Source organism: Homo sapiens, chromosome 4 (genome assembly GCF_000001405.40).
Source record: "Homo sapiens chromosome 4, GRCh38.p14 Primary Assembly".
Taxonomy (NCBI): Eukaryota; Metazoa; Chordata; class Mammalia; order Primates; family Hominidae; genus Homo; species Homo sapiens.
Genome location: NC_000004.12, coordinates 104855110 through 104875270, shown reverse-complemented (window position 1 = coordinate 104875270; position 20161 = coordinate 104855110). Strand labels below are relative to the sequence as shown.

At 35.3% G+C, this 20161-nt stretch overlaps 1 annotated feature.

Annotated features, from left to right (window-relative positions):
- Positions 4152–4201: a silencer, noted in NCBI's record as "silent region_15605". NCBI's record gives its function as "represses an Ori minimal core promoter by ATAC-STARR-seq in GM12878 lymphoblastoid cells {active_cell/tissue: GM12878}" and the evidence as "EXISTENCE:reporter gene assay evidence [ECO:0000049][PMID:35858748]".

Here is a 20161-nt window from a genome sequence, read left to right as displayed (position 1 = left end):
ATATGAGATATTTTGGATATTTCTTAATTCTAAAAGAAAGATTTAAATTTAGATTCTGCTGATAGAATTCAGATTATTGTGTTATTACTCATATTGTGACTTTATTTATTTTTTTGAGATGGAGTCTCACTCTATTGCCCAGGCTGGAGTGCAGTGGTGTGATCTCAGTTCATCGCAATCTCTGCTTCCTGGGGTTCAAGTGATTCTCCTGCCTCAGCCTCCCTCGTAGCTGGGATTATAGATGTACACCACAACACCTGGCTAATTTTTTTTGAATTTTTAGTAGAGGCAGAGTTTCACCATGTTGGCCGGGCTGGTCTCGAACTCCTGATTTCAAATGGTCAGGCTCAGCCTCCAAAAGTGCTGGGATTACAGGCATCAGCCACCATGCCTGGCAATATTGTGACTTTTTAAATCATTCTTTTTCTCTCCCCAACTCCCACGGACATACATAGCCTACTCGGGTCTTTTGAGTTTGTGAGGCTCATTGAATTTCAGATTATGCCATTGATATTTAATATTCATCATTTTATTGTACTAGACATTATATATATTACAAGTAAATATATTTTTATAAATTATATATGTCTTTATTTTTTTTTACTCTGTGGGCTCTTATGTCAGTTTTTCTGGGCTCAAATGTTAACTCTTACTTTGCCAGCTATGTAACCATTGAGTGAGTGAGTTAAGCTCTCTCAGTCTCATCTTTTTCATCTGGAAAATGGAGATAATAATAGTCTCATTTTATAAATTGATTGGTAAATAACACATGTAGCATGCTTAATCAGTGCTAGGCACATGTGCCTAATATGTGTTAGTCTTTATTATTATTCTAGAAGGTGAATTTTCTGAGGGAAAATACTATTTGTAATTCACCTCTGTATCCTCATAATCAGGCATAATTTTGATACATAGCAGACAATGAATACATATTTGTTGAGCAATGAATATATATTAACTATTCTCAGAGTGTCAGAACATAGTTAATGTATGGGAAACCAATCCAGAAATAAGCCTTATGGTGAAAAGATTTTAAAAATTATGATACTAATTTCCTTCTTTCTTTTTCCCCTCATTCTGTGAATTAGAATTTTGACTTAGATAGAATGCATCAATATATAATTAGATGGTGTTATCGAATGTGAAATTTAATAAACAAAAACTAATTTGTTGGAATTATTTGTTCAGTAAATAAATATTTATCAAGGGACTAGTACATGTAGGGCATTCTTGTAGGTACTGGAGTCGCAATGTTGCATTCTTTGTAACTGGAATCAGACACATTTTTCTACATATTTCTAAGCAGAGTAAATGACGGGGTCTGCTAAGGCCTGGAATCTGCTCTGTTTTCTCCTCATTAAGCCTTCAGGGACAAACTTAGACCAGAGTGAAAGGGGAACAAGCTAAGTGTGCTGTTCTCTGTCAAGTCCCATGTTGTTTGTACCAGGATGACCTTGACTTTGTGGGAGGCATCATCCAGACTCCCCTGCTCAGCTTTCTGAGCATGGATTGCTGCAGGACTAGGTGTCTTCCCTCTCTCTGTTTCTTCTGGTTCTTAGCCCTATTAGCCTCCCTTTTCTCCCCCAACAGAAAATCTCTTTCACAGACATGGTCCAAAGTGACTCTGGTAATTTTCCTGATTTTCAGGCTTTTAAACAAGGTTGGCTCTTGAAGTACTACTTCAGAATAGAGTGCAGCTCTTGGCTGGCTAGTCCTCTTATTGCAAGCCATTTCCATATCTTTGGCATATAATCGACATTTGTAAGTAAAAGCCGGCTTATATGAATCCCGGTTCATCTTTAATTACTGACTCCTGAGATCCCTAGGACTGAATATCTCGCCATATGCCCATTCCAGAATTGTATAGTATTCTTCTGCTATGCAGTTGCAATCTACCCAAGCCTTAGAGTAGAAAATCTGATTATATTCTCCGTGTACTTTCTCTGTCAGGAATAGTTTACCCTATTATAATCTTCTAACCAGCACCCTCTATGGGAAATAGTCTCTCTAATATCTGAGTATGGCTATGTAATCTGAGAAACGTCATATAGTGAAACTTACACTGTTTAACAGTCCTTTCCCTGATTAGCAACATTAATCAGCAACTCAGCCACCCACCCCTACTTATTTCTGTCTCAGTTGCTTCATATGTAGAAGGAGAGTGATACTAGTACCTAGCGCTTAGGCTTGCTGCATGGATAAAATGAATTAACATGTGTTGTGCTTAGCATGCTTCCAGCACTTTGTAAGTGCTCAATAAATGATAGTTTTTATGGTTCTTATTAGTATTATTACATAGTTCCCAAGGGACAAAAAGATATTAGTTGTAAGTGTTCCTAATATATTCTTTTATTTAATTGGGATATTGTAGATTCATTAAAAAAACTTTTGAGAACAATTTTAGATTTACGGAAAAGTTGCAAAGACAGTCTAGAGCATTCCTATGTACCCCACACCCAGTTTCTCCCATTGTTAACACCGGACATTACTATGGTACCTTTGTCACCACTAAGAAACCAACATTGATACATTACTATCAACTCCATACTTTGTTGGAATTCACTGGTTTTTCTCTCATGTCTCCATCCTGGGCTCCCATGCATGATACTAGGTTAAGCTCAGTCATTATGTCTCCTTAGGTCCCCCCGGCAGTGACAATTTCTGAGATTTTCCTTGTTTTTGTTGACTGTCAGTTTTGAAGAGTGCTGGTTGGGTATTTTGTAGAATTCTCTTTGTTTTGAATTTGTCATGATATTTTTTCATGGCTAGACTGGAGTTATATGTTATCAAGAAGACAGTGGAAGCAAAGTGCCCTTCTCATCACATTTTATGATTAATACAGTACATACTATTAATCTGACTTATGTTGATAGTAACCTTGATCATCTGGCTGAGGTAATATTATGTTTCTTCATGGTAAAGTTAATTTTACTTTGTTTTAAAAGAAATTTGTCATAGATCTTTGGGAGGTGTGCAAAATATAAAACATCTCACATGTCAAATGTAAGAATACCAAAGGCTTACTTTAATAGAGAAGCAGAATCCTACCTCTCATTTGGAATATATTCCTTGAATCCTATCAGAACCAACTATTGTGATGAAAAGATAGAAAGCACATCACCTCACTACTGCTTCCAACATGCTTTTTTGCCCCTTTCTTCACACAGTTGGCTGGAAAGCTAGGCAGGTATGAAATTGGTGGTAGGAATTAAAGGAGAACATACAGCTTAGAAGATTTAAATAATGGCAAATGGGTCAGGAAGAAAATTGTGTGGTAAACATAATTAGGATGTCAGTGAAGGAGGAATGTCTCAGGGATGAGGCTTCTTACTGAAGAAATGGGGTACTATGAATAAGGAGGGCTTGAAGGACAGGGTTATGGGTTAAGACTAAATGAAATGAGGAAACAAACTATGTATGAAATGGGGAAAGAACATCCTAGGTGCAGGCATAGCAAGTATAAAGGCCTAGAGGCTTTGCTGATGTGTTCTAAGAATGGTAAAAATACATTCTAATTGCCAGTGATTTCTAGATGCTTCTTAGGAACTTACTCTGGTTATGAACTCTGCAGAAAATTTAGCCTGGTTCTGAACTGTGTGAAGTCATGGATGTGTTTTTGGACCAAAATATTGTCATACTGTCTTAACTTTGAACAGGCTAAACTCATTTTTTCTTTCTTGACATTTTTCCCAAATGAGTCTTTGGAAATACTAAGAAAAAATTAATACAGCAAGGATTTGACTTCATTGCTTACTCCTGGAAATTCTCTAACTCCCCAGGAATATCCGTGGAGATTTTCCTCTAAAATATATTGCTCTCTAAAATGTTTCATTAACTCTCAGCTGTGGGTTCAATCTTGTGATCAGCGTGTCCAGGGAAGCCAGAGAAGCTTTTGTTAAGCTTGTTTATTTGTAGCAGGTGTTTGAATTTGACATTTGATTTGACTTAACCATATTTTGGGAGACTGCAAATTAAGAAAGCTTCTGAAATATGCAGAATCTGTTATGCAGAAACATACTTACAGATATATGGGTGGAATTAAAGGAAAAAGCTTTCAATAAAACTCTTCTTTTTACTTGAGGTTTGAAAAGGCTTGATACTTTTGTAATGATCCACAGCCAGCTGATTTCAGTTCAGGAGGCTAAAAGGGATATAATAAGAAACCCGTTCTTGTAAAATTTCAGTCTGTCTGAAACAAGTCTGAGCAGGAAATGTTTGTGAGAAACCTGTTCTCTCAGAGTCTTCCCTCCTGGTTCCTCATTTCAGGAGGCTTCTTCCACACCCAAATGAATATCTGAAAGGTTAGTGATTTTTTTTCATCCATATTAAGACTATTAATAGAAAATAGGCTGGTGGGTCCAAGTTTTCAATACAGCCTAGTGACATAGCATTTCTTGTTTGCTCCTGATCAGTTCAACATGGTTTCATCATTCTTGAAAGCTGACTTTGATATTCAAACTTAGGAAAACTGTAAGCATTTCATGTCCCTCTCTCCGTTGCAGACCCTGTTCATTGGCACTCCCCTCTAAGCTGTGAAAGCAGAACCACATCTGTCTTGTTCTCTACTATGTCTCTCCCTCAGAGAAATGCCTGCCACATGGAATGTGTCCAGTGAAAATGTATTAAATATATGAATGACTAGTACATAACAACTGTGTGGCATCTAATTTGGAGAACTCAAAAGCCATACCAGGCTCTAGGAATTCTTTACCCAGAATTCACCATCTCATGTCTCCAGCATTCATGCAATTTTCATCCTAGGAATGACTCAAATTAATTACTCTTAATAACTCTTAAGGTAAGGAGGTAGATAATTTTATAAAAATTATTTTTATATAAATCCATTAAAACAAAAGAATGTCACATGATGTGTTTGCAATCAGATTATTACTTTACTACTAATTTTATGTTCATAAGAATTATATTGCCAATAAGATTGGTAATAGTAATAACAATAAATAATCTTTAGTCCTTAAAATTTAAAGCCATACACTATATTAGAACCAACTAAATATTAAGTACTATAATAGATGCTATGGTTGAATACAGAAGAATCTAAAGAAATAGATGTTTAATTCTGAGTCATTTAATAATAATAATAATATTTGCTGAACACCTATCATGTGACAAACACTGAACTAAATCTATACATTAAATAATTTAGTCCTCATAAAAGGTCTATGAGCTAGTTACTACTGGTTTCCACATTTTACAAATGAGGAAGTTAAGGTTTGGGAAGATTAAGTAAATTGTCCATTTTCAAGCTAATAGGAAATGATGAAAGTAGAAGTTGAACTTGCTTTTTTGATATCACAAGCTACTCTTTTTCCTTGGACATTTAACTTCATTGTTTGTTCTTCAAGTTTATATTTTAGTTGAGGATTCAGAACATACACATGAAATAGTACTTGCCAAACAATACGTAAATGACCATAGTAACTATAATACAGATTTCCAAAACCCGAGAAGGTATGTTCAACTGAAAAGGAAATTCATATTGGAAGCATTTCCTCAAGAAAGTAAGTTTGAATCCATATGGGAAACTGGGAAGTAATTTTTGTGTAGGTGAATATAAGAGATAGACCGCAACTAATTAGGTTAAAAGATAAGTCTTTACTTTTCAAATTTATAATTCTAGGCTCCTGGTTAGATAATAGTAACAACAGTAACAAAAATAATACCACTTTATATCTGTATAACATGTAAGGGTTTAAGCAGACACAATTTGATTTTATTTGTAGATTAATGATCCTTCGTATGCTATGATCCTCTTTAATATTAGAAAAAAGCAACTAGAACAAACTTCATGATAAAGCTTGGAAAAGCACAGTATTTGAGAACCTTAACATTCAATATATGCTGAAGTAATGAAAACCATCCATAGTCTTGCCATGAATTCCTTTTAAATTGCTTATGAAATTGTGAGAGTCAGCCTGCAAATTCTTCCCTTCTCTACTCCACCCTATCCCATCTCACCCAGTTCCCAGCACACACACAGTTCTGCTATTTTTGAAAAGAAAGAAAAAAGTCTCCACATTATTGGTGTGGTTTCTATGATCATGGGCAGAACTGCTCAGAATATTCACCAACTATGGGAGTATACATTATCTGACTCAATTCAAGTCTGGTCTTTGCCAGTAGGAAACCCTTGTGTTAATTTCTATTTCTATTATTGTCAAAGATGACACTTCCACTTCTCTATTTTATTTTTGCGTCTTTCATATTTACGAATTCAAATTTCATATTTTCTTCAGAGGAGGTACATGTGTTTGTAATAAGGAAAGTCTCCAATTCATGAGGACTCCTTTTGTCTACTTTCCCCTTTTCAGAAAAGCGTGTTAAATTAACTAAAGAAATAATTGGAGAAAAAGCAAGTTAGAATATTATAGAAAAGAATAAAATGATGAAACATATGTTTCATTTTATTTCTTTTTTGAGACAGAGTGAGACCTTGTCTCATATATATATACATATATATATACCTTGTCATATATATACCTTGTCATATATATGTCACATATATATACCTTGTCATATATGTATCAGACAAGGTCTCACTCTGTCACCCAGGCTGGAGTGCAATCATGTGATTATAGCTCACTTCAGCCTTGAACTCCTAGGCTCAAGTGATCTTCTTGCCTCAGCCTCCTGAGTATATGGGACTACAAGTGTGCACCACCATACCTAGTAATTTGTTCATTATTATTATTATTTGTAGAGATGAGATCTCACTATATTTCCCAGGGTCTTTTTTTTTAAGCATGCTGATAGGATATAGATAGGAATGAAAGGGGCAACAGAGATTTGCCTTTACAATGATGTAAAATGCTACCAAACCTTCAGTAATAATATTCAGTCATTAGTGGAATTGAGTGACAGTATAAACTATGTGTCATAGATTTCTGCATTAATCCACAGTGAGTCTTAGCATTTTTGTATATTTTACAACATATAGGAGAAAATAGATGTTGTTAAAGAGTATCTCCTGAATTTACAAAATAATAAATTTAAAAAGCAATTGTCTATCCACTCCTTCTATAAGACATAATGAATAAGAGCCTTGTATGATGGCACAAAGCAAACCATCATTAGACAGGGGTGATAAGAAAGAAAAGAGTAGCTTTAAGCCAGAGGGAGAAAATAGTGAATGAGAAGACCAAGTTTTATTTCAGGAATAAACTGGATTTATACCAGAAAAATTATTTGTTTTGATATGAAAATCATACCTTTGGGTTAACACCTCTCCTAGTAATCTAGATTAATTTAATATCCATTTGTAATACATTTTAGTGTCCTTCATAAATGCTAAAAATAAGTGTACTTACACATTTACCAGTGTGTGGTCCCCCATGGGAAGGAAAGGGAAATAAATAGAGGGATTAGAAGTCACTTCTGGGTCACGTGTTCCCCAATACCATTTTATTCTTGATCCTACATACCTACTGGTGTTCACAGAATAATAAAAAATAAAGACTCCAAATTCCTTTCTAATTCTAGATGCATTTTTTACCTTACATGTGGTATATTTAATAAACTTAAATATCAGAGCTATTCCACCTCTTAATATAATATTTACATTTGAACCTGCATAGCAAGGTGGCCCTTTTCATTGTATTAGTGTTTAGTTATTTTAATAAATATTGAAATTGAGTAACAGAAGCAATAACAAAAAATGAATATTGAATATATACTTATTCCCACTCAAAATTAAACTAAAATCAGTTGCATCAAGCTTTCAGTCATATTTGTGTCAAACATTTATGTTTTTCCTAAAAGCAGTAAACAAAAACTAAGGGTGCCAATGTTTCTTAACCGAAACCTTAAAATATTATCTTTATATTTGGGGAGATTTAGAACCTGAGAACAAGATTTCTATGCATTTTAAAGTGAGGCCTATTTATTCTTAACTGCCAAAAGAACTTATAGTAAGGATTTATAAATTTAGGACAGGTTGGCAGTGGATGGGTAGGTTAAGGCTATAAAAATGTTCATTAAATATTTTTTAATGAATGAAATTAGGTAATCTAAATTCATTCATTAAAAAATATTTAATGAATGTTTTCTATGCTCCATACCTCTTTGCTAAATCCTAGAGATGTCCATAATGGCGAACAAAGCCAGACCCATCCTGCTGTCTTTTAGCTAGCAGTCTAGAAGGGAAGAAAATATTAGTTCATCAACAAACGTGTGAAACCGCCACTGTGAGAAGTACTCTGAGGGGGAGGTAAGTGCTGTAATGAGTGGATTTTAAACAGTTGGGGTGTCAGAGAAGTCTTCCTCAAGGAAGATGCCTAAATGAGATCTGCAAGTTGAATAAGCAGATAGGTGACAAGGTGTGTCCCTGACAGTGAAAGCAGGAGTAGGAGAACAGTGAATTGAAACCGACAACACTCAGACAAATGGGAAGCAGGGGCTGGGGACATAAGTAGAAAGCAGATCATACAGGTCCTTGTAGGCCACATGAAGAATTTATCTTTATTCTAAGGTAGGTGACTTAATCAAACCTCCTGCCTTGCATTTTGAAAGAAGCACTCTAGCTGCTTTGTGGTGAATTGGTTATAGCTAGTATGGGGTAGTTAGGTTAGAGGGAGGCAGTCCCAGCAGGCAATTATTAGGCAAGTCCAGGCAAGTGATATTGTGTCAGGGGTTAGTGGGAGTGGGTATGGAAAAGGTAAAGGGATTCAAAAGATCTATAAGAGATAGGTACATTGCCATGGCTAGATGATAGAGCGGTTATGGGCTCTCTCCCTCTTTATGTATGAATTCACATATCATATATTACTCATATTCTCCATCGACATTATATAATACACATATACTATGGATATATGTAGATAAATGTAAACGTGTAGGAGTGTGTGTATACATATATGTGTATGTGTGTGTGTGTGTATATATATATATATATATATTTATTTATTTATTTATTTATTTATTTCAGAGTAGTGCCTAATAAAGGATGCTCAAATAGAGCAATACTTTATGGTTAATATCTCTTTTACAGCAGATCTTCACGCTTTCTCTTATTTTTCCCTACTAAGTACAGTAGTCAGGAATTTCATGTAAACAGACAATATGGGATAATTGAGTGAAAATAGACGGATACATTTTGTCTTTATTGAAATGATTTTGACCAGTTTAAGATAATTACAGCACACACATTATACTTTTTCACACTGAATTATGCCAAGTTTCCCAAAACCACTAATCAAAGAAGTCATTTAAATAATGACTAAATTATGATAATGTATTACAGTTGAAATGACAATAGAGAAGAATTAAAAGTAAAGAATGCTAAATAATGCTTAATTGCCATTATCTAGGTAAAACACAAATGAAATAGGGTCAGCCTGAAGAATGATATTGGAAAAGTGACTGGGTTCTGGAATTGAGGCTTAAAGTTACTAAATTTTTTTGTTGTATTGATTTTTCCCTGTCATGATCATACCTTTCTTTTTGATGAATTTTGCAACTTTTATAATTCTGATTTGTGACATAGTTTTAAAAAAGTGTAAAGTATAATTAAAGTTTCCATGTGCTTCTCATACCAAGTTTTATTCAGCTAGCTGTTAAGTAAGTGATTACCCTATAAGTACAACTTTAATACCCTAGTCACCTGTATGGGTTCTGCCACTGGATGTTTTATTGAAGAATTTTTTTGGGGGTGAATTTATATTTCTCTTGTACAGGGCTCATTGTTTATTGAATAATTGGAGGTGGGTTATATCTAGCTATAGGAGATACCAATGTTTATACAACATGAGCACTTAGATCTTTTGCATGACATTTGGATATAAATGAAATTTCCTTTTGAAAATAATGAGCAATGGGAAATGGCATGCATTTTAAAGGATGAATTAAGTTGACACAAAGCGCTAAGATATGTTAAGATTTTATGGTATGATTTACTCAAGTAGGGCTTTGGTTGACTAAGATGAACAGATCTTGTCAGCATCCCTGGTAAGTGTTTGGGATGTTTTGCTGTGGTATGTTTTCTAAATTGTATCACTATACTTTCAAGACTCTAAATGAAGCAGTGTGCTGTTTATTACTGTACTACCTCAACCTGCTCATAGCAGAAGGAACATTTTAAAACACATTACAAGTGCTCTCTCACTCAGTCTTTCATCTTCTGTCCATTATTAAAAACGACCTATAAGAAATCACATGGCAACCTAGAGTAGTTCAGGGAAATATTGAGCTTTGACTTCAAGTGTGTCTTCCTTGTAATACAAATAGCCATTTTCAGTTGATATGTTCTATCCTGAATGATTTGGCTTGAAATGTCTTTCTATATTACCATTAATATTTTTTGTTTGTTTCTGAAACAAATATGAAATGGAAATGTCATGGACAGGGAAATTTTAAATGGCTACTTCTGTGACTCACAGCCATTTTAGCTTAGGCTTCCTATTTGCAATACCTTCCTGACAGCAGTGTTTCTTTCTGCCTTTTTGACAATATTATTTCTGGGAAATCAAGCTAATTTCTATTTTTCATTCCCTGTTGAAAGGATTACTCATATCCTCTCTCTTACTCCTCATGTGTCCTTATCTCTAATTAAGATGATCAATAATAATAATCCATGAGACTCTTTTGAAATTGTTTTTCCTTTAATGAATGCTATTAACTTTTTCCCCCATTTAACTCTGTATATTGATTTTTGGTTCCAATTCTACCACTTTTATGTACCTTTTCTTTTTTCCAATTCTTCTTTCACCTTGGAATATTCTTTAACTCTAAGAAGATAAATTAATTCAAGATTTTATATGTTTACAGTGTTACTTATAACACAATTTATGTTATATTTTAAAAAGTTTTATAAAGTATTTACAGACTCAATCTCATTTCATTTTTTTTTACTATGGTAGAGGTAATTGTCCTTATTTTGGAGTTGAAAAAATCAGGGCTTAGAGAAATTAAGTAAGTGACTTGCCCATGGTAATATTTTTGGAAAATGACAAAGTCAGGACATAAGCTAAGCAATATTATTACTTTAAAAATATACAGCCTAATATTTAGTAAATCAGATATGTGAAGCAATGCCCTTGGCATTGGGGATAGGGTAGAGCTAATTCCACAACTGGGTATTTTGACTCGATTTGTTTCAATATAAATACAAAACCCAGATGACATTGCTTATGCAATCAGTTTATCAGGAGTTACAGGCATACCTCATTTTATTAGGCTTGACCTCATTGTGCTTCACAGATATGGTGTTTTGAAGGTTCGTGGCAACCCTCCTTGAGCAAGTCTATTGGTGTCATTTTTCCAAAGTATATACTTACTTTGTGTCTCTGTGTCGCATTTTAGTAATGCTTAGAATATTTATAACTTTTTCTCATTATCTGTTAGTGTGAGCTGTGATCAGTGACCTTTGATGTTATTCTTGCAATTGTTTTAGGGTGCCATGAACCATGGCCAAATAAGGTAGTAAACTTAATCCGTAAATGTTGTGTGTGTTCTGACTGCTTCACTGACCAGCCATTCCCCTATTTCTTTTTTTTTTTTTTTTTTTTTTTTTTTTGAGACGGAGTCTCGCTCTGTCGCCCAGGCCGGACTGCGGACTGCAGTGGCGCAATCTCGGCTCACTGCAAGCTCCGCTTCCCGGGTTCACGCCATTCTCCTGCCTCAGCCTCCCGAGTAGCTGGGACTACAGGCGCCCGCCACCGCGCCCGGCTAATTTTTTGTATTTTTAGTAGAGACGGGGTTTCACCTTGTTAGCCAGGATGGTCTCGATCTCCTGACCTCATGATCCACCCGCCTCGGCCTCCCAAAGTGCTGGGATTACAGGCGTGAGCCACCGCGCCCGGCCGCCATTCCCCTATTTCTTTCCCTCTCTTTAGGCCTTTCTATTCTCTAAGGCACAGCAATATTGATTTTAGGCCAATTAATAACCCTGCAATGATTTCTAAGTGTTCAAGTGAAAGAAAGAGTCATGCATCTTTCAATTTAGGTGGAAAGTTAGAAATGATTAAGCTTAGTGAGAAAGGCATGTCCAAAGCTGAAATAGGCTGATAGCTAGTCATCTTGTGTCAAATGGTAGCCAAGTTGTGGATGCAAAGGAAAAGTTTCTAAAGGAAAAGTGCTATTCTAGTGAAGACCCGAATGATAAGAAAACAAAACAGATTATTGCTGATATGGAAAAAGTTTTAATTGGAGAGAAGATCAAACCAGCCACAGCATTACCTTAAATCAAATTCTAATCCAGAGCAAGGCCCTAACTCTCTTCAATTCTGTGAAGGTGGATAGAGGTGAAATGGCTGTAGAAGAAAAATTGGAAGCTAGCAGGAAGTTGGAAGAAGAAAACCTCACAAAAAAAAGTTGGTTTCTGAGGTTTTACGGAAAGAAGCCATTTCTGTAACATAAAAGTATAAGATAAGGCTGCAAATGCTGATGGAGAATTTGCAGTAAGTTATCCAGAAGACTTAGCTAGCTAAGATCATTGATGAAGATGGCTACACTAAACAACAGATTTTCAATGTAGTTATAAAAGCCTTGAAAGATGAAAAATCTTGAAAGAAGATGCCATCTAGGACTTTCCTAGATAGATAGAAGTAGAAGTTAGTGTTTGGTTTCTAAGTTTCAAAGATTGGCCCTCTTATTAGGGGCTAATGCAGCTGGTAACTTTAAGTTTAAGCTAATGCTCATTTAGCATTCTGAAAATCCTGGGGCCCTTAAAAATTAAGCTAAATTTACTCTGCCAGTGGTCTATAAATAACAGAACAAAGCCTGGATGACAGCACATTTATTTACAGAATGGTTCACTGAATATTTTAAGCCCACTGTTGAGACCTACTGGTCCCTTGAGATGGAGTCTACACCTGAGGGAGATGCTATGAAAATTGTTGAAATAACAACAAAGGATTTAGAATATTACAGAAACTGAGTTGACAAAGTAGCTGCCTAGGTTAAGGGGACAGAATCCAGTTTTGAAAGAGGTATTATGTGGGTAAAATGCTATCAAATAGCGTCACATTCTACAGAGAAAACTCTTGTGACAGGAAGAGTCAATCTATGCAGCAAACTTCATTGTTGTCTTACTTGAAGAAATTGCTACAGCCACCCTAGCCTTCAGCAACCCCTACCCTGATCAGTCAGCAGGGATCAGCACTGAGGCAATACCCTCCACAGGCAGAACAGTTAAGAGTCACTGAAGGCTAAGATGATTGTTAGCATTTTTAGCAACAAAATATTTTTAAATTAAGATATTTACATGGTTTCTTTAGACATAATGCTATTGAACATTTAATAGACTACCATATAGTGTAAACATAACTTTTATGTGTGCAGGGAAACAAAAAAATTATGTGACTCGCTTTATTGTGATATTTCCTTTATTGCAGCTTTCTGGAACAGAACCCACAAGATCTCTGAGGCATGCCTGTCCTTAATTTACCCTAATCATGGAGGTGCTTTTTATTTGTTTTAAAAGAAAGGAACATCATATTAATATAACCACTGAACTCACATAAATACAATATGTTCTTCAAATTTCTCTACATGGAATAAGAATAGAGCTTGCAATTTTTTTTTTGTATTTAACTGATAGTGTTTATGGATAGCATTTAACTGATAGCATTTTCAGAACAATGGGTTGAGTTGAGGGGTGCTGTGGCAACCATTATATGGAGCCAGGCTACTGATCTGTACACAGAATGGCCTCCTAGTCTTGGCAAAGCTTTGAACCTCATGAGTGGGCCAGCTAATAGAACACGCCAAGAGACCATAGTCTAGCTGCTGCTGGAGAGCTTATATTGACTGCTGACGTTGATAATTATTCTGTTAACTTATATCGAGAAATACTTCCTCTCTAAAACCCCTAACACAGAGCAAGAATTATAATATCTACATCATTTTAGTACATTCCACAAAATAACAAGTCATGTACTGTATGAGTTAACTGTTCCATGTCCTCTAAGCACTTAGGTGGAAACTTGGTGACCCCCAAATATACTGGAAAATATTTTTTTCCCTGAACTTTTCTGTAAGAATTCTTAGAAGGTAGAGTGTCTGATTAATATTCTAGCATAGCAATACAAGTTTAGAGCCCTTAGTTGTGTGGAAAATATCTTAGGAGAAAACTGTCACAGAGATTTAACCCTTGGGATAGTATTTAGAGTGGAAACAAAATAATTACCTAGAGTGTTAGAACATTTTCCTGATCTTAAGTTTCTTTGAAAATAATATATTTTGAGGTCAGTAAGTCAGAGACTTCTAAGAAATAATCGAGAGGACCCAAGTTTGATGCTCACTGGCTGTTGCTTACAATTTTAAACAAGATAGTGATTAAGCTCTGTACAAAAAAATATAAAGCTATATCATTAGAAGAAGCTTTGTCTTGGGTTCGTGAAATGTTTTGAAATAATGTTTGCAATGAGTAAACTAGTTTCATATTGGCATTGTGATATAAAGCCTTCTTTAAAACAAATAAGCAAACAAACAAACACATACCCCTTAGGCTTGATACGTGTAAATGGTAGTTTAGAAGATGCCTTCCTTTTAAATCCTATTTGGCCAGAGAAAAAGGCTGCAGTTCTACACATTTCCAGCAGGGGTCAATATGCTTTCATCATTACTGAATGCTCAGTGAGCAAGCAGCAGAAGTGTTGATCCTAATTGGAGCAGACACAAGGATCTTCTATAATCCTCTGACATCCTTTTCAAATAATAATTCTTAGGTGGGTGGTGGGCTGGTGGCTGCAATGCCAGTGCAGGCTTCTCTACAATGAAGCCTAACCATTGTCAATTATTTTTGATGTATGCTAGCTTAACTTAAGTCTCTTCTTCCTGGCTTTTCCAACCCACAGAAGGGTATTCTTCCTCCTAATTATTGTCACAGTACCTAGGATGGTCAGAACAAGTGTGTTATTTTGGCTTGATGTGCTCTCCAAAACCCATTCCTTTCCTTTCCTGCCTCTCTGTGCTCTTCCTACAAAGTACGAAGAGCAAGCATATACTTTCAGTCAAATATCTGAGGAGTATTTTACTTATAACCTTAATTGCCATAGTCATTGGACTTTAACTCATTAAATGCCAGCATTTGGAGGCAACTGGAGATATGATAATGAGTATATATGATTATAGTTGCATATATATAGCTTCCAGTAGGTTAATAATTGGGACTAAATCCTCCTCCACCCACACACTTTCTAATAATTTGTTCAGGGGCTCTGCCAGCCAGTGATATTCAGGGAACAAATTGTCATCCTTTATGTGCATTTTAAAGACTGGCGTTTGCTGGAGACTCACACTGTCGTGCAGAAGCTTGAGTTCTCTGAGTCAAAAAAAAAAAAAACAAAAAAAAAAACAATGTATGTCCTGCCCCACATTCGTAAGCTCATATTTTACTCTCCTTGGCCCTGACTACAGCCCTTTCTGCTGAGCGGGGAAGCGAATGTCTCTGTGTAGAGACATTTTCAGAAATCCGATTCTGGAGAGCTGAGGAGTGTTGCGGCAGGAATGTATTACCAGGACACTTAGAAGGTGGTTAACTGCTTGAGTGCTGCTGCCTGCACTAGAGAGAGAAGGGAGGGACCGCAGTTGTAATATAGCTCCAGCTCCACTCAGCTTAGCCAAAGTGGGGTTTTAAAGCGGTGCCCTCATATATCTCTGTAGGTAGTCGGGGGTGGGGGTGTCATTTGCAAGGTAAAACATAGGTAAAAAGTAAGGACAGAGTTAGCACGGCAAAAGCAGCAGTTATTTATCTTGAACTAGGTTCACAGGGATTGAGATAATTTTCCACTTATATAGAGCTTGAGAGGCTCCTAAAAATAAATATTCTATCACAGATTTCAGTCAGATAGAAAGGAATATATTCATTCCTACATGTAGGTACATTTTAAATGTTCTCTTTAAAATTGTGGAGATTTCTTTTGCTTTCAGAGATTACCAGTACCCTTTAATGAATCAATAATAAAAACAAATTCATTTATCTCTGTTATTTGCAAATCTTGCTTTAAAATTCATATTTAAGCAAAGCAAGTGATGAAATTCTTTGATGGGACTACTCCTTATCTCCTTTACTTTAATTCTATGTTTACTTTAAAAACAAAACTTACATACCTTCCTCAAATTTAGAGTAAGGTATGAGGCATAAATGTAAGTTGATGGAGAGGACAGCAGCTATTTCAGCTTGGGTCTGACAGCCATCTGACAGGTGATACTCTATGTCTCTGACGGATAGTCAAGAGAAGCTGGGAGGAATTTTGAGCTCATTCTTGGCAGTTGCAGCAGCAGATTAATTTATTTTTTTTAAAGGTCATCGTTAGCATGAATGGAAAAATGGGTTGGATGCCTAATAATGCATCTCTTAAAAGAAGCATATATTTATTTAGTCAAGACGTATTTATTGAGTGCCTACTATATGCCAGACACTGATAGAACTATTGGGCTATATTGATGAATAAGATAGGCAAGGGCTGTATTCTCATGGGGCTTACATTCTGCTTGTTAAAATACACATGCTTTGAAAGTGTATAAGTATATGTTCTAAAAAAAACTTCAGTGCATTTTTATTTCCTCATTTCACACATTTGCTTCTTCATATTTAAAATGTAGGCTGAAACACTCCTTATATTCTTTGAAGGTGAAAAAAATATATCACTGCAGGGTGAACTACAGAATTTCAGTGACTACAGAAGTGCTTCAAAACCTAAATTGGGAACAGAGTGGATGTAAAATGGTTTACAAATAATTAGCAGATTAGGATGCTTTTTAGTTACTGCGTCCATTCATAAAACTGAGCAAAGTGTGTCTGGAGCAGCTGACACCAGAGTTCAAGGTTGCCCATCTCCTCTGCAGGAGGTCGTGATAACTAAACATGACCATTTCTTGTTCTCACAGCATGGCTTCAGGAAAACCAAATGGTCTCTACACTCAGAGTCCTGACCTCATGAATTAGAAGAAGTGAAAGAAGATGGCTTCCAAATTATGTTTGAAAACTTGTGAGGATTTAAACTCTCTCCATAGAACTTACCATTACACACTGAAGCAACCTTGAATCAGAATAAATTGATGTCTGTTTCATTTATTTATTCAAATATACCTCTATACTCAAAAAATAATCCCCTAATAGAATAATTTTTAGGAAAATGTTTTTGAAAACTTAGATGAAACCCATCATTTAAGCTATGCTATCTCTATCTTGGCAAATTTTTCAAGGTGTCTGGGAAGCGGGACCTTGGGCATCTAGCCTCTATGTAATGGGCATGCCAATTTTTACAAGCTTAACTTTGAATCTTTACTATCCACTCACTTGGAGAGGAAAAAGTCCAGGACCAAAGATCAGATCCAGTTTTTTCTTTTCCCTATGAACCTTTGTCCTAACTTTCATTTCCCTCTACTTTTCTCCTCAAAAGATGTGATATCCAACATTTTCTTGTTCACAGTTAGCTTGAACTAATAAATAGTCACAAACTTTCAGATCTCCCTGCTTTGAGGACTTTTTTACTATAAGAAATCAGCCAAAATTTTTAAGAGTAATGTTGAAATTTTCTTTTGGAAGGTGTTAGAAAATCAGGTACTCTCTTATTTTTGAGACTCTTTTAAGAAAAGAGGTTATCATTTTCCTAAAGCACATTTTCTGTTTCTAGACTTATTACAACTCCTTGATAGATAATGTACTCTTCACAATAAATAGAGAGTTTACCAACAGAGAAAATATTATTGCTTCTCTTAAGAGTTCTCTCTCTCTCCCCCACCCCCTTATCTTTCCCCTGTCCCTCTCCTCCCTCTCTCCCCCCACCCCCATCTTTCTGTCTCTAAAAGACTGCGTTAATGTTTGGGCATTTATTATGCGTGAGTATTTCTCTATTTCTTACATGATTGTTGATTTTCTTGATTATTGCAAAGTTATTAAAAGTTATAAATAGATTTTGAAATAAAAGGAGTTGGTTGTGATAGAGTTTTTCAGAAACTGTCCAGGCTGTAATTTTCTGTGGATGCTAAGATAAATGTCTAAGGAAATAATCATTGCAGAAAATTATTCTGGTAGGCAACTTTTAAGATAATTTTTGGTTTTCAGCTTGGAGCAGAATATTTATTTTTCACTATAAGGAAACTTGCTTTTATTATAGTGAATTCTCTCCTTCTCTACGAGGTGTGAGATACAAGTGTCATGTAAAATCTGTGTATTCTATTGAGGCCCATTAACCTGAGGCAGTGGGCAGTAGCTCAGACCTTAGGCTATATCTTGAAAATGTAGTATCTCCAAGTTCTAATTCCTCTTTTACATTGTTACTTGACCTTGAAGAAAAACAGTTGAACTATTTCCTTTTTTTTTCTTATTTACTAGGAAATTCAAACCAAATTTGGAAACTATCTGTAGCAATTATATGCCTTAGGAATGCATTTTGTGGCTTATGTTTTGTAACTCTATTTTACTTTTTAACCTTTTCTTTTCTTTTGATTTTATTTTTTCCTGTTGAATTGTATATGTGTTCACATATACCATCTCAAATAATGTTAGAAGGAAATTAGCTTATAAGTAAGTACGTAAAATTATAGTTACATTTATTGGTTTCTTGCTAGTTGTTAGATTTTCAGTTAAGCATTTTATACACACTACCACACATGATATACATAACAACCCCATTGGTACCATATCAGTTAGAAATGCATTCGTTTGCCAGTAGCTGAATATCTAGTGAATAGTAAGCTAAATAAAGAAGGGAGTATTTATCTTTTAACCTAACAAGAAGTCTAGAGAAGAGTAGCAGTTGACATTGATTTGAAAGCTCATTGGTGTCAGATCTAGCATCACTGAGATTCATTTACTCTTTGCTTCATGTACTTAAGATGGTTTCAGTAGCTCAGAACATAATGCCAGTATTTAACAAAAGAATAAGGTGGAAAGGTTAGAAAAGTCATGTGTGTTGCTTTTATCAGGAAGCAAACTTTCTCCTGAAATCTTCCTCTAGCTTCTGCTTACATCTCATGGCCAGAAATGTGACACATGGCCCCTCTTAGAACTTAGAAATAGATGCTAGCAAAAGGAAAGTGATTTGACAGTGGATATGGAAAAGGACAATTTTAAAAATATTTAACAACTGCTACAGCACAGACACTAAGAAATTAGAATGGACACACTGGCTATAAATAATTGGTAGAAACTTACTAGTGAGTGTATACAGAATATAAACCCTGAGTGCAGGATTAATCTGCAGCTATTTTTATCCAATGTGCTACACTGTGTATCCCAAAATACATACTTTTAAAAATAATATACCTGTATGCATACTGATATTATATTAGCACTAATAAAACTAGACTTCCCAGGACACATTCTGGTCTTGCTTGATACCTACTAAAATGAACACACATAATCACTTCCAAAATATATTGAGGTAATTCAGCTTTTGATCATGGCAGAGCAGCTTGTACTGAACTAGCCGTGGCATAGATAACAATTATAAATTCTGGGTAAACCTTAAATCACTAGTAACAAGTATTTGAAGACTGAAGCTAGAGGGAAGCCAGCCTTTGAAGATAAGATGGTGCATTGGGTGAGAAGCACTTCATATAAATCAACTCCAAGATGTCACAAAGGGTATTTAGGAAACAAAGACTTTAATGAGATTATTAATTTGTTTAACTCCGGTAATCATTTCACTAGTACATGTATATCAAAACAGTGTGTGGTATGCCTTTAATATATTCAATAATAAAACAATTATAGTCATATTTAACAGACAGGTAGGACATCACAGCCAAGAATGAAGACTATAAATAAGAACCAAATGGAAATTTTGGAACTGAAAAGTTCAGTAACTGAGATTACAAATTGTAATGGAAGGCTTAGGAGGATATTGGAAACAGCAGAAAAAAGATTCAGTGAACACTGAGATACATCGAAAGAAATTGTCCAATCTGAGAAACAAAAATTGAAAATAATGAACAGAACCTTATCACCTATGGAACAATAGGAGGTATTCTAATATGTGCAATTAGAGTACTAGAAGCTGAGCAGAGAGAGAGAAAGGAAAAAAAAGATAGGAGCAAAAATAATATTTGAATACATAATAACTGAAACATCTCCAAATTTGGAGGAAAATGTCTTACAGAGTCTTAAAGTTAAGCAAGCACTAACCTATATATAAATTAAAACCCCACATGGTCCAGCTGCCAGAAACCCATATTGAAAACAACCAGAGAAAAATGA